The 15,507-nt window shown below is 39.9% G+C and overlaps 1 annotated feature.

Moving 5' to 3' along the window:
* Positions 6,052-6,221: an enhancer, noted in NCBI's record as "active region_9201". NCBI's record gives its function as "activates an Ori minimal core promoter by ATAC-STARR-seq in GM12878 lymphoblastoid cells {active_cell/tissue: GM12878}" and the evidence as "EXISTENCE:reporter gene assay evidence [ECO:0000049][PMID:35858748]".

Genomic DNA, 15,507 nt, shown 5'->3' with positions numbered 1-15,507 from the left:
CTCTGGAGGATGCAGCACTCAAGGCAGAGGCTTGGGCCCTCAACAGACACTAAACCCACTGGCACCTTGATTTTGGACTTCCCAGCCTCCAGAACTATAAGAAATAAATTTCTGTTCTCTACAAATTATCCAGTTTTAACTATTCTGTTATAGCAGCACAAAATGTACTAAGATACCACAAAAAGGCCAAGAGTTTATGTATTTTTTTGTAATTTTTATTCATTTATTTAGTAGAGACAAGGTTTTGCTATGTTAGCAAGGCTGGTCTTGAACTCCAGGCCACAAGTGATCCACCCACCTCCACCTCCCAAAGTGCTGAGATTACAGGCGTGAGCCAACATACCTGACTGGACAAGAGTTTATGAATTCCAGTACAGAATGACTGGAAGCTCTAAGGGAAAAAGTATACTCTTATACATTAACCTGAAGAAACTGCCTCAGTGATTTCAATGCAGAAAAATGGTCTGTCTGTGTTCAAACTTATCTCCTTAACCAAGGAATCTACATCTACCTTACTAGTTGTTGAGAATGGGTGGGTTCTCCCAGACTATCATATATGTGTAGGAAGTCCAAGGAGGGTTCCTACTAGATAGACATCATACGAACTGGAGAAAACAATCTGTGGCAATACATTCTTCCTGATATCAGTTCTTTGGGCCCCTAAACAGCAGAAACAAGACTCTTGGAAGGTAGAAGTACAAGACTGAACCCTTAACCAATATATAGGTACTATGCAAATGATTTGAAGTGGGCCCTACACAAAGAGATAGCACTTCTTGTGCTACCATTAAGAATTCTAATAAATTATTGAGGGATGCTTATAAAAATGCAATATATAAAATTCATTTGAATATATGCGATCCTTGAAATAGAGTTAAGTCTATGTGGAAAAAACCTTGGAATTTGAAATAAGATTCTGAAATGTGCAAAATAGAACTCAGGATTTGAGGTGGATCTCCCACTTGAACCAACCAGAAGTCTGGAGGTGGGAAGTTCTGCTTGTGAAATGACACTGCCTGTAAGGTGATTATTTCCCAGTGGAAGTTGAGCCAGACCTTTAACTTGGCAGCTGGAGCTTGGTATACCAAATGTCCTTGTGAGTGAATATAGCAGGTACCTCATTACACCTAGGACTAAGTATTCTGCTTAAAATGTTGGTATCCTCATCGTGAAAATAAAGTACTGTTTCCTTATCCAAGCCGAGAGGAGGCATTACTGATAATCCAGGAGGCAAGAGGGTGGTTCTCTCAGTGGATGCACTATTATGTATGGTAGTCAGGATAAACTAAGTGCTGTAACAAACCTTCAAATCTCATGGGGTTAGGATAATGTAAGTTTTTACCTCACCTATGCCATAGTACAGTCAAGTGTTTGGTGGGAGAGTATGGCATATTGTATTTTTAAAGATGATCATGACAATGCCATCAATACGTTATGTTCTTTTACAATGTGACTTTACTACTCCCCCATCAAGATATACAGTTTATATTCCCATTGAATAAAGGAAGGGCCTGTCACTACTTTGATCAATAAAATATGCAGGAAATGATGTTATGCCACTCCAGGCATAGTCTTAACTGCTTCCAATTCTTGACTCTTGGAATGCACATGTATGGGGCTCTTCCTCTTGGAACCCAACCACCAGACTAAGAGAATTTCATGCTACATGGAGAAGCCAAGTGTAAGCCCTCCAGTTGACATCCCAGTTGGGTTTCCAGCACATAGCCAGCATTATCTGCTATCCATGTGAGTGGACCTTCTTGGTCACTCACCCAGTTGAGCCATCAGATGACTGCAGCCATCTGTACTATCCAACAAGTGCCCTCAATTGCAAGAGAGATCTCAAGCAAGAGCCACTAGCTGAGCCCAGTCAACTCAGAGAGTCATAAGATCTAATAAAAGACTGTTGTATGAGCCACTAACTTTTGGTGTGGTTTATTGTGCAGCATTAAATAATCAGAACAATGGCCCTTCATGTGGCAGTTTAGGAACCTAACATCTTTTTTGTGACTCAGCTACTTTGGACACATGGCAACCAAAGTTAGCATAGAAAACGGATATGAAGAATGTGGAGGATTATACAAAGAGTTGTACAGTATGGTCTAGAAGAAAGCACATTAATTCTGTCCACCTTGCACAAATTAAAACTAAGTCATACTACCCTAACCTAACTGCAGAGATGCTGGGAAATAGTCTAGGCTGTGTGCCTAGAAGGAAAAACAAACGGTTGATGAAGACATTGCATTTTCTCTACCAAAATACCCCCTTAAAAGATTTTTCTCCCCAGTAAGAAGCCATACATAACTTTGACATATACAAAATTTAACTTAAAATGGGTCAGTAAACTAAATATAATGGTTAACAAAAAGAAAACTTCTAGAAGAAAACATAGGAGAAAATCTGTTAGTCTTGGGTTAGGCAAAGATTTCTGAAACAAGATACCAAATACAAAATCTGTAAGATAAAAAATTGATAAATTACACTTGATGAAAATTAAAAACTTTTGCTCTCCAAAAGACACCATTAAGTGAATGAAAAGCAAGCCACAAGCCTGAGAAAATATTTGCAACTCATATCTGATAAAAGACTTGTATCAAGAATCCATAAATAAATCCTAAAACTCAAAAATAAGAAAACAAACAACCCAACTTTAAAAAATGAGCAAAAGATTTGAACAGATACCTCACCAAAGAAGATATGTGGATGAAAGATAAGTACATACAACTATGTTCAATTTGTCATAAATGCAAACTTAAATCACAATGAAATATCACCATATACTTATAGGGGCTGAATTTTTTCTTTTGTTTTGTTTTGTTTTTTGTTATTTTTTTGAGACAGGGTCTCACTCTGTTGTACAGGCTGGAGTGCAGTGGCGCCATCTGGCTCACTGCAACGTCTGCCTCCCAGATTCAAGCGATTCTCCCACCTCAGCCTCCCAGGCAGCTGGGATTACAGGCACGCACCAGCATGCCCAGCTAATTTTTGCAATTTTAGTAGAGAAGGGGTTTCACCATGTTGGCCAGGCTGGTTTCGAACTCCTAACCTCAAGTGATCTGCCTGCCTTGGCCTCCCAGAGTGCTTGGGATTACAGGTGTGAGCAACCACACCTGGTCAATGGCTGAAATTTTAAAATCTGACCATACCAAGTGTGAGGAAGACATGGAGCAACCTACACTCTCACATACCACTGGTAGGAATGTAAAATCATGCAATACTTTGGAATACAGTATAATGGCTTCTTAAAATGTTGAACATATATCTACTATATAACTCTACATTCCAATACCATGTACCCAAGAGAAAGGCAAGCGTACATCCAGACAAAATACTTGTATGTTAATGTTTATAGCATTATGTTTACCCAAACTATAAATAAACCAAATGACCATCAACATGTGTATGAAATGAGTAAACATATTCTGGTATTTCCATATAGTAGAATACTGCTCAGCAATAAAAGAAATAAATCAATGATATACATAACAATATGGTTAAATCCCAAAATAATTGTAATGAGTGAAAAATGCAAGTCAAAAAAGTGCACAGAATGTACAATTCTATTTATATAAAATTCTGGGGGGTCTGATTCAAGATGTCTGACTAGAAGCAGCTAGTTCATGCCTGTCTCACAGGAAAGAAACAAAGTAGCAAATAAATACTGACTCTTCAACTGCATTGTATTAATCCATTCTCACACTGCTATAAGGATACTACCTGAGACTGGGTAATTTATAAAGGAAAGAGGTTTAATTGACTCACAGTTCTGCATGGCTGGAGAAGCCTCAGGAAACTTACAATTACGGTGGAAGGTGAAGGAGAAGCAAGTACTTTTTCACAAAGTGGCAGGAAAGAGTGCGCAGGGGAAACTACCACTTTTAAACCATCAGATCTCGTGAGAACACTCTCACTGTCATGAGAACAGCATGGGGGAAACCGCCCCCATGTTCCAGTCACCTCCCACCAAGTCCCTCCCTTAACATGTAGGAATTACAATTCAAGACGAGATTTGGGTGGGGACACAGGGCCCAACTATATCATGCATCATCATCTAAGAAATCACTCTGGGATTCACTAAGGAAGGGACCAGACCCATGGAGGGCAGAAAGGACTGAAGCCAGGCAACTGCCCACACAGGACTGGCAGGAACCTGGAGGAAGCTCCCTAGCCTGGGGAAAGGATAAGTGAGTGAGGGTCTCCAGGAGATCCACACTTCTGCCATGGGCCTTTACAATCCTGGGCACAAGAGACTGTCCTTGACTACCCCAGGCCTCTAGACCAACACAGAGAGCTTCCTGGAGTCTGTGCAGAGATACTACCCCAGCTCACATGGAACCTCACAGGCATTTGATCCCTGGGCAGCCCAGTGCCAGCTACCATTACCCCACTAATAAAGGAAACAAGGTTCTTTTGCACACCCCTGGGATAGAAGCCAAAGCTGCAAAACTGAGGAGTGGCCAGACTGCATATTACATTACCCCCAATTCCACTGCTCCCTGCCAGTCGGGGCTTGCTGGCTTGGGCCACCTGCACAGCCACCCTGCCCCTGCCGGAATACTGCAGTCAGAGGTCTGCATTCCTCTGGGTGCAAAACTCCCAGATATAGCTAACAAGCCCTTTGTACGGCCATTGTCGCTGCCTCTGCCCCTGCTACCCCCAGGCAAAGAGAGGCCGAGGAGTCTGGGTACTTCTGTGTGTCTCCAGCATGAACATAACAGCTGAGATATGGAGGAACAGTGGGCACACTGCACACCCCGCAACTCTTCATCTCTGCTGCTCCCTGCCAAACGGGGCTTGCTACCTGCCAGCCCCCAGTACACACACACAGCCCCTCCCTGGACTCACTCAGCTGTCGCAGCTCTGTGCTCATCTGAGTGCATAACTCCCAGAGGTAGCTGACAGACCCTTTTCAGTCATGGCTGCCACTCCCTTCCCCTCTGCTGCCCCCAGGCTAAGAGGGAATGAGGAGCTAGGGCACTTTCATGTGCCACAGCTGAGATACAAATGAACAGCAAGTAGACTGCACTCCCCATGACTCCCCACCTCAGCTGCTTCCCATCAAATGAGGCTCACTGTCTTCCAGCCCCCAGTGCAGTCTTCTTGCCCCTGCCTGGACATCTGGCTGTAGCTCAGTTCCTCTGCAAGCCCAATTTTCTGAGGCCAGCCACAAGCTTCTGGCAGTTGCCACTACCACAGCCTCTGCCACTACCACTCTCAGGTCAACACAAGAGAAATATTGGCACCCTTGTGTGCCCCCAATAGTGAACTCCAATGTTACTTATATAGAAGGGAAGTGTGAGTGTGTCACACACCCCACAGCTGCCAGTCTCCATTGCTCCAGCTGAGGGGTCCGGCCCTCCCCAGCTGCTCTGTCTCCACCTGAACATTTCAGCTGCGGCCCAGAGCTCTCCTGAGAACACAATCCCCAGAGACCTGTGATCTTCCCTTGGGCTCCCACTGCCTGGGTGGGAGCCTGCCCTCACCTGAGAGTTTTGCAAGTGACCCGGGGACCAGTTCACCCCTCCCCATCACAGCCAGCACCTGAACTCTGGGCTAACCCAACCCTTGTCCAGCCCCACCAGAACTCATACATTCACACACACTATCCAGTGGGCCATCTAGGGGCCTGGGAACTGGGGAACTACCTAGCCCATTTCAACACAGTGGGCACCTGATCAGCTCACCAGGGCATCAGATTGGTTTGACACAATCAGCCAATACCACCACAACCAACACCCTCCTGCACGGGCCCAAAGGTGGAGCCCCTACCTCTACACAAAGCAGCAACATTACCACACTGGAAAACAAGTGAGCCATAAAGCTATCTGTGACAGGCTGAGTGAGAAGTTAATGCCCTGAAGCAACACCCATGGAGAGTTGCAGAAAGGGTTTTCCCATGGCTCTCAACCGCACTGTGGTCCAGAGATAGACTTTAGTGTGCATACAAACAGGAAGTCATGAGCCCAAAGACGGGGTTATGATAGGGAAACAGATCATATTCCTGTCCTTCTAGGATGTGGAGCCGGTGCAGCCCCCTCACCACCTGCAGAGACCTCAGCACATTTCACCAGGAGCTCCTGCCAGCCGCCCTCATCAGGGCTGGTCCCTGTGTTTGCCACTGGGGAATTTGTAGGCAAGCCAGGAGGTCCGGCTCTGCCCAGCTGTCTCCACCCCTTCCCCCACCACCCCTATTGCAGAACAGGAAGTTCAGGATATCTGGCACTCCACTGTCCAGCCTATCACCTGAAACAACACAGAACACCTCACAGTAAACAAAGATCAGTTACATACCCATCTGCTCGTGCCACAGCTGACTCTTACCCATCAGCGCCATCTACTGGCCTGTAGATGGAACTGCATAGCTCAATATAAAACCTGCCAACAGAAGTGCAGAGCGGGTATAGAAATCAAAGCCCAAAGACCCTATCCAACATACTCTACAGTCACACTCCCTAGAGAGGCTGGAGAAAGGGAAGAAAAACATTCTATCTGAATGAAAATGATTTCAAAAATTAGAAGTGGCAGCCTCTCCAGATGACAAAAAACAAGCATAAAAATTCTGGCACCATGAGAAATCTGAATGTTGCAACAGCATCAAAGGATCACACTAGCTCTCCAGCAACGCCTCCTAACCAAAATGGAAATTCAGAAATGACAGATAAAGAATGGATTCAAAGGAAGCATTAATTCATATTTTATAATTCAATTCAAAGTATGAATTGCAAGGAAGCTCAACAAGATCCAAGACAAGGTCGAAAATCAACACAAAGAAACTACAAAAGCAATCTAGGAAATGAAGGCAGAGATTTTAAAAAACATCTTTAAAAAATCAATCAGAAACTTCTGGAATTGAAAAATTCACTTGAGGAATTTCAAAATACAATTGAAAGCCTTCTCAATAGACTAGACCAGGCAAATAAAACAATTTCAGAGCTCAGAGACCAGTCTTTTGAACAAACCTAGTTAGACAAAAGTAAAGAAAAAAGAAATTAAAAATTAGCCAGGCATGGTGGTGCACACCTGTGGTCTCAGCTACTTGGGGGGCTGAGGTTGGAGGATTGCTTGAACCTGGGAGGTTGAGGCTGCAGTGACTACTGCACTACAGCCTGGATGACACTGGAGGACCTCGCTTCAAAAAAGACAGAGAAAAGAAAAGAAAAAGATTTTTAAAAATGAAAAAAGCCTTAGGAAATATGGGTTTATGTAAAGTGACCAAACCTGTGAATTATTACTATTCCTGAGAGAGAAGGAGAAAAAGTAAACAACTCAAAAAACATATTTGAGGGAATAATTCAGGAAAATTTCCCTAATCTTGCTAAAGAGGTAGACATCCAAATACAAGAAATCCAGAAAACACCTGCAAGATACTGTGCAAAACAAGTATCACCAAGGCATACAGTCACCGAACTATCCAAGGTCAACACTAAAGAAAAGAATCTTAAAGGCAGCTATAGAAAAAGGTCAAATCACCTGCAAAGGAAAACCTGTTAGACTAACAGATAGACTAGTAGACAGACTTCTCAGCAGTAACCCTGCAAGCCAGAAAAAAACTGGGGCCTATTTTTAGCCTCCTTAAAGAAAAAAAAAAATACCAACCAAGAATTTTATATCCTGACAACTTAAACTTCATAAATGAAGAAGAAATAAAATCTTTTCTAGATAAGCAATTGCTAAGAGAATTTGTCACCACTAGACTGGCCCTACAAGAAATGCTCAAAGAAGTTCTCAACATGGAAATGAAAGGATGATACTCACCATCAGAAAAGGAAACATAAGTGCAAAGCTCAAAGATCCTATAAAACAACTACACAATAGAAACTCCAAAGCAACCAGCTAACAACACTATGTCAGGAACAAAACCTCACATATCAATAATAACCTTAAATACAAATGACCTAAATGCTCCCACTTAAAAGATACACAGTGGCAAATTTTGATTAAAAAATAAGACCCAGCCATCTGCTCCCTACAAGAGACCAACCTACTGACTAAAGACACATTTAGACTCAGAAGTAAAAGGGTGGAAAAAGATACATCATGCAAATAGAAAAGAAAAGCAAGCAGGAATAGCCATTCTCATATCAGATAAAATGACTTTAAACCAACAACAGTAAAAAAGACAAAGAAGAAATATTTACTATCCTAAATATGGATGCACCCAACAATGGAGCACCAAGATTCATGAAATAAATACTACCAGACCAGTGAAAAACAGACTGATAGCAATACAATAATAATGAGGGACTTCAACACTTTCACTGACATCACTAGATAGATCACCAAGGCAGAAAGTCAACAAAGAAACCCTGGACTTAAACTGGACTACAGACCAACTGGATCTAGGAGACATCTATAGAACAGTCTACCCAAAACTACACAATATACATTTGAAGAAGGAATTAATGAAATCAACTATAACTTAATAGTAGTAGTAATAGAAATTTTAAAGTCCTCTTAAAGTTGCTGCAAAGTGTGACCCCCCCCCCCACCTTACACTCAAGTTAAAAGGGAATATTAACAGCCTGTCTTCTCTCTGTGGACAGTGGACCTTATCTATACTCCCCAACTCCACATTCCTCAAAGTTTATTACAGGCCCAGTGAGTTCCTGCATGACTGCAGGGTCACAAGACTGATAAGTTTAGGTTGCAAATCATGTCTTTCTCAACATGTAAGAAATGTTGCAACGCCGCCTTTGTTTCTTGCTTCTGTAACTCACTTCCAGCTTCACATAGTTCCTGCCTTAAGATGTTTAAAAGTAGGAAAAGCCCTTTGTTCAGGGCTCAGGCTTTCTGGATATATGTCTGGCTGGACCGGTGATCACCTTAATAGACTCTCCTGAACTTTTTTCAGTCTCTCCAGTCTTTGATTGTCCTGCAACACATTCTTTTTACCTGTGCATGGAACATTCTCTAAAACTGACCATATGCTTGGCCATAAGGCAAATCTCAATACATTTTAAAAAATCAAAATCATGGCCAGGTGCAGTGGCTCACGTCTGTAATCCCAGCACTTTGGGAGGCAGAGGCAGGTGGATCACAAGGTCAGGCATTCGAGACCAGCCTGGCCAACATAGTGAAACCTGTCTCTACTAAAAATACAAAAAATTAGCCAGGCGTGGTGGTGGGCACCTGTTATCCCAGCTACTCAGGAGGCTGAGGCAGGAGAATCACTTGAACCTGGGAGGCAGAGGTTGCAGTGAGCTGAGATCATGCCACTGCACTCCAGCAACAGTTCAAGACTCCGTCTCAAAAAAAAAAAAAAAATCAAAATCATATTAAATATCTTCTCAGACCACAGAGAAATAAAATTAGAAATTAAAACCAAGAGGAACTCTCAAAACTACACAAGTATATGGAAAATAAAAAACTTTCTCCTGAATGACTTTTAGGTAAACAGTGAAATCAAGGCAGGAACAAAAAAATTCTTTAAAATGAATGAAAATAGAGACACAAAATACCAAAACCTCTGGGATATAGCAAAGGCAGTGTCAAGAGGAAAGTTTATAACATTAAATGCCTCCATCAAAAAGAGAGGAAAATCTCAAATTAGCAACCTAATAGAAAAACATGAAAAAAATCAAACCTAAAATTAGCAGAAGAAAAGAAATAACAAAGATTGGAGCAAAACTAAATGAGATTGGGACCAAAAAAAAAGATACAATGGATCAATAAAACGAAAAAATTGGTTCTTTGAAAGGAAAAACAGAATTGACAGACTGCTAGCTAGACTAAGCAAAAGAGAGAAGATCCAAATAAGTACAATCAGAAATGGTAAGGGTGACACCACAACTGATACCAGAAAATACAAAAGATCATCCGGTACTACTATGGACACATCTATGCACATAAACTACAAAACCTAGAGGAAACTGATAAATTCCTGGAAAGATACAACCTCCTAAGATTGAACCAGGAAGAAGTAGAAACCCTGAACGATACCAATAATGAGTAATGAAATGGAATCAGTAGTTAAAAATCTCCCCTCACAAAAAAAAAAAAAAAAAAAAAAGCCCAGGACCGGATGGATTCATAGCTGAATTTTACCAGAAGTACAAAGAAGAGCCAGTTCCACTCTTACTAACACTATTCCAAAAAATTGAGAAGGAAAGATCTCTTCCTAACTCATTCTACAAATCCAGTATCATTCTGATAACAAAATCAGGCAAGGACACAACAAAAAAAGAAAACTATAGGTCAATATCCATGATGAACATAGATGCAAAAATCCTTGTCAACAAAATACTAGCAAACTGAATCCAACAGCACATTAAAAGATGATTCACCATGATCAAGTGGGCTTTATTTCAGGAATGCAAGGAGGGTTACACATAGATAAATCAATAAATGTGATCCACCACATAAACAGAACTGAGAACAAAAAAAATTATGATCATCTCAATACATGAAGAAAAAGCATCCAATAAACTCCAACATCCATTTATGATAAAAACCCTCAACAAACTGGGTGTAGGTGGAACATACGTCAAAATAATAAGAACCGTCTACAACAATCCCACAGCCAATATCATACTGATTGGGGAAAAATTTAAAGCATATCTTCTTAGAGCTGGAACAAGACAAGGATGTCCACTTTTACCACTCCTATTCAACATTTTACAAGAAGCCCTAGCCAGAGCTATCAGACAAGAGAAAGAAATAAGACACTCAAATTGGAAAAGAGAAAGTCAAATTATCTCTGTACACTGATAACATGATCATATACCTAGAAAACCCTAGAGACTTCTCTAGAGATTCCTAGTCTTGATGAGCAACTTTGGTGAAGTCTCAGGATACAAAATAAACATCAAAAATCAGTAGCATTTCTATATACAAATAATGTTCAATCTGAGAATCAAATGAAGAACTCAATCCTATTTACAATAGCCACACACAAAAATAAAATACCTAGCAATACATTTAACTAAGGAGGTGAAAGATCTCTACAAGGAGAACTAGAAAACATGGATGAAAGAAATTGTAGATGACATAAATAAATTTTTTAAAATCCCATACTTGTCCAGGCACCTTGGTTCATGTCTGCGATCCCAGCACTTTGAGAGGCTGAGGTAGGAGGATTGCTTGAGCTCAGGAGTTTGAGACCAGCCTAGGCAACATAGTGAGGCCTCCTCTCTACAAGTAATAATAATAATAGTAATAAATTAGCCAGGCATGGTGGTGTGCACCTGTGGTCCCAACTACTCAGGAGGCTAAGGTGGGAGGATTCCCTGAGCCTGGGAGGTAGAGGCTACAGTGAGATGTGATCATGCCACTGTCCTCCAGCCTGGACAACAGAGCAAGACCCTGGCTCAAAAAAAAGAAAACAAAAACAAATAACACCCATGCTCATGGATTGGAAGAATCAATATCATTAAAATGACTATACTACCAAAAGCAATCTACACATTCAATGGAATTCCTATGAAATTACCAAACTATTTTTTTAAGGAATTAGAAAAAACAATTTTAAAGCTCATATAGAACCCTTCAAAGCCCAAATAGCCAAAGCACTCTTAAGCAAAAAGAACAAATCCAGCGGCATCACATTGCCTGATTTCAAATTATACAGTAAGACTATCATAAGTAAAATAGCAATGGTACTGGTACAAAAACAGACACATAGATCAATAGAAGAGAAGTGAGAACCCAAACATTAAGCCACAACCCAGATATTAAGCCACATATCTACAATCAACTGATCTTCAATAAAGCTGACAAAAATAAACAATGGGGAAAGGACACCATATTCAACAGATGATGCTAGGAAAATTGGCTAGCCATAAGTAGAAGAATGAAACTGGACCTTTATCTTTCACCATATACAAAAATTAACTCCAGATGGATTAAAGACCTAAATGTAACACCTGAAACTATAAAAATTCTGGACAAAAACTTAGGAAAAACCCTTCCAGACATTGGCTTAGGCAAAGAATTTATAATGAAGAGCCCAAAAGCAAATACAGCAAAAACAAAAATAGACAAATGAGATTTAATCAAACTAAAAAGTTTCTGCGGAGCAAAACAAATAATCAATGGCTAAATAGAAAAATCTAAAGAATGGAAGAAAATATTTACAAATTATGCCTTTGACAAAGGATTAATATTCAGAACCTATAAGGAACTCAAACAACCCTAAGGAAAAAACAAGTAACCCCATTAAAAACTGAGCAAAGGACATGAACAGACATTTCTCAAAAGACGTCATAGAAGTGGCCAAGAAATACATGAAAAAATGCTCAACATCAACTAATCATTAGAGAAATGCAAATTAAAACCACACTGAGATACCATCTTACACTAGTCAGAATGGCTATTTTTAAAAAGTGAAAAAACAAGAGAAGGTGTGGATGTAGAGAAAAGGGAATGCTCATACATTGTTGATAGGAATGTAAATTAGTTTAACCTCTATGGAAAACAGTATGATGATATTTCAAAAAACTAAAATCAGAACCACCATTTGATCCAGCAATCCCACTACTGGGTATCTACTCAAAGAAAATAAATCATGATATAAAAAAGATACCTGCACACCTATGTTTACAGCAGCACTATTTATAATCGTAAAGTCATGAAACCAACTTAAGTGTCCACCAACAGTTGACTCGATAAGGAAAATGTGGTACATATATACCATGGAATGCTACGTAGCCATAACAAAGAATAAAGTCATGCCTTTGCAGCAACATTGATGGAGCCAGAGGCCATTATCATCAGTGAACTGACACAAAAGCACAAAATCAAATATCACATGTTCTCACTTACAAGTGGAAGCTAAACAAATGGTACACATGGACATAAAGATGGGACAAAAAAAAGAAACATAATTTTTTTCACTCCTGGTGGGGTAAGAAAAAAAAAGAAATGAAAAAAATGATGGGAACAATAGACACTCGGACTATTAAAGGAGGGAGGAGGGAGGAGGGAGGGGCGTGAGGGATGAAAATTGCCTACTGGGTACAATGTCCAATATTTGCATGATGGGTACACTAGAGGCCCACCCCCCACCCATTGTACAAGTTATACTCATGTAACAAACAAGCACATATACCCCTGAATCTAAAATAAAATTTTAGATTAAAAAAATTATAGAAAAATAAGGTAACCTACAGTGACAGAAAGCAAATCAGTGGTTGCCTGGAGACAGGTAGGGGGCAGAGGCTGTCAAGGTCAAGTAAGAGGGAAGATTACAGAGCAGCAGAAGGAAACATTTGGAAGTGATTGATGTGTTCACTATCTTGATTGCAGTGATGAATGCACATGTGTATAAATATGCCAAAATTTATCATATCGCATACTTTAATAAGTGCCATTTATGATATGTCAATTATACTTCAAAAAGCTGTTTTTAAAAATAATGTATGTAACACAGGCATAGCATGACAGCCATCATTCTCCACCTTGTGCACCTTAGATTTTTATAGTAATAGAGCTTCACCTATTCTGCTAAGCCTGGGCTGGACCTCATTATTCTTCTTAATGTGCCTCCTTCTCTGTCAGACTGTCAGAGGTGATAACCTGAAAAGGAGAAAGTTTCCTCTGATTTCGCTAGAATCACTTAAAACACTAGAATCTTCCTCAAAAGGTAAAATAAGAATGTTCCAATATTCCCTCGATAACTCATTTCCTTATTTCATTCTCACCAGGAACCAGGACAGGGGGATGGGAGGAAGAAAAGCCACCTTATGTAACATTATATTGAAATATTACAAATTCTATCTTATGGACATTTATATGTAAATAAGGTGATCAATTCAGCTAAATATTTTGCTCTTTCTTTTACTGAACACTTTAGTCTATGTCACACTTAGGACTCTTATTGCCACAACTAACAGAAACCCCAGTCTGAATTGACTGAAGCTAAAATAGGAATGTGTTGGCTCATGTAAATTCATAGTGGAAGAATATTTCTGGTTTTAGGAATGGTTTGATCCAGAGACTCTTCACAAGGCCTTGGCTCTATTTCTCTGAAACCCTCTCAGCTCTAACGCCCCTGATGTAGACTTCCTGGTTTTATGCATCTTTATATCACAAAGGAGTTCTGATGATGATGCTCTCAGAAAAAGAAAAGTGTCTGGAAAGAGACTTCAGTCACATCTTACTTGTCTTGGGTCCAAACCAGATCTGTGCTTATTCTTGTACTAACACTGTGGCCAGAAGGAGAGGCTGTGCTCATTGATTGAAGCCTATCAAGACCCAGTCCTGAATCTGACAGTAGAATTAGTATCCTCTGAGTACTTGGAGGTAGAAAGGGATCCCCAAACAACAGGGGAACTGTTGTTACTGACAGGAAGGGGAATAAATGTTGGGCAACCCAAACAGCAAAGGTTCACCTTAGCAGTATCATACTCTTTGATGTTAAATTTGAGTGCAAATATAGGATATATGTATGTATTTATACATGAAGGCAGCCCTTATATGAGTAAACATTAAATAGGCAATTGTTAATAGCATTACCTGATGTTTCTCTGAAGGCATTACAAAAAAGTTATCATATAGTTAGAAGTAGTCTTTGCTGTTTTATTTCACAAGCAATAACTCATTAACCAACTTTGCATTCATTTTTATCCAGTTCAAACCACAAACATTCCCTTTTCTTGATCCATATATAATGCTAGGAACACAGACTTATTTTAAGTGGTAGGCATGGTAACCCACAGCCATAAAATGCTAAATGCTAATTCATTAACATTGACTTCATATTTTATTAGTTTCAAGCATTTATGACAAAGAAGATAGTGATGATCAAATATAAAGTATTTGTGGCAGACTGTACACCTTACTGCACGTAAACTGTTTGGGTTCAAAATCTCAAAGCTACCTTTTATGGAGGATAATATTTTCTCCTGCATTGGTTCAAACACAGAAGATCTTCACAGACACTGTTGTATGACAGCCATCCCACTAGGGGCTTTGGTGAATTGGGATGCCTATCTTGTGAGCAACACTAACAAATAATTAACAAGGAAAACAAATATTATATCTGATCAATTCTGTTTTCCCAGAAGCAAATTATTTGGTGATCTTTGTAAAAACAAGAATCTGTCATTTTTCACTCCAGCAAACTGCTTATCCTTATGCCTAGGATTCAAAATCCCTCCCTGCTTTCAAATGTTTTGGATGAAGACCAGTAAAATTTTGACACTAAAGTGGGTTCTTCCAGAAAAACACTCCCCTGGGAACCTGACTATTTCTTTTTTACATTTATTGATATTTTAAATACACTTGGACTACCAGAATAAATTAATCTGATTTATCGGTGCCAGAATCTAGTTTTTTTTTTTCTGCTTTTATTTTTTGTGTAATTTAAGCCTGAAACCACTCATTAACTGGTCCCAACCTTGAATAATCTACTCTCACTGTCCAGAGACTATTAGGTCAAATTGGTAGTCACTAACAGGTGAGGGATGGCTTTTTCTTTTTAATCAGTATAATCAGTACTTTTCTAACAGCAAAGATCAACTGTATTTTTCCCTAGCCTCCACCCCAAAACTCAAACAAAAATGCATTGCA

The sequence above is a fragment of the Homo sapiens genome, chromosome 15 (assembly GCF_000001405.40).
Source record: "Homo sapiens chromosome 15, GRCh38.p14 Primary Assembly".
Classification (NCBI taxonomy): domain Eukaryota; kingdom Metazoa; phylum Chordata; class Mammalia; order Primates; family Hominidae; genus Homo; species Homo sapiens.
The sequence above is the reverse complement of the archived record's forward strand: the minus strand, read 5'-3'. Positions and strand labels throughout refer to the sequence as shown.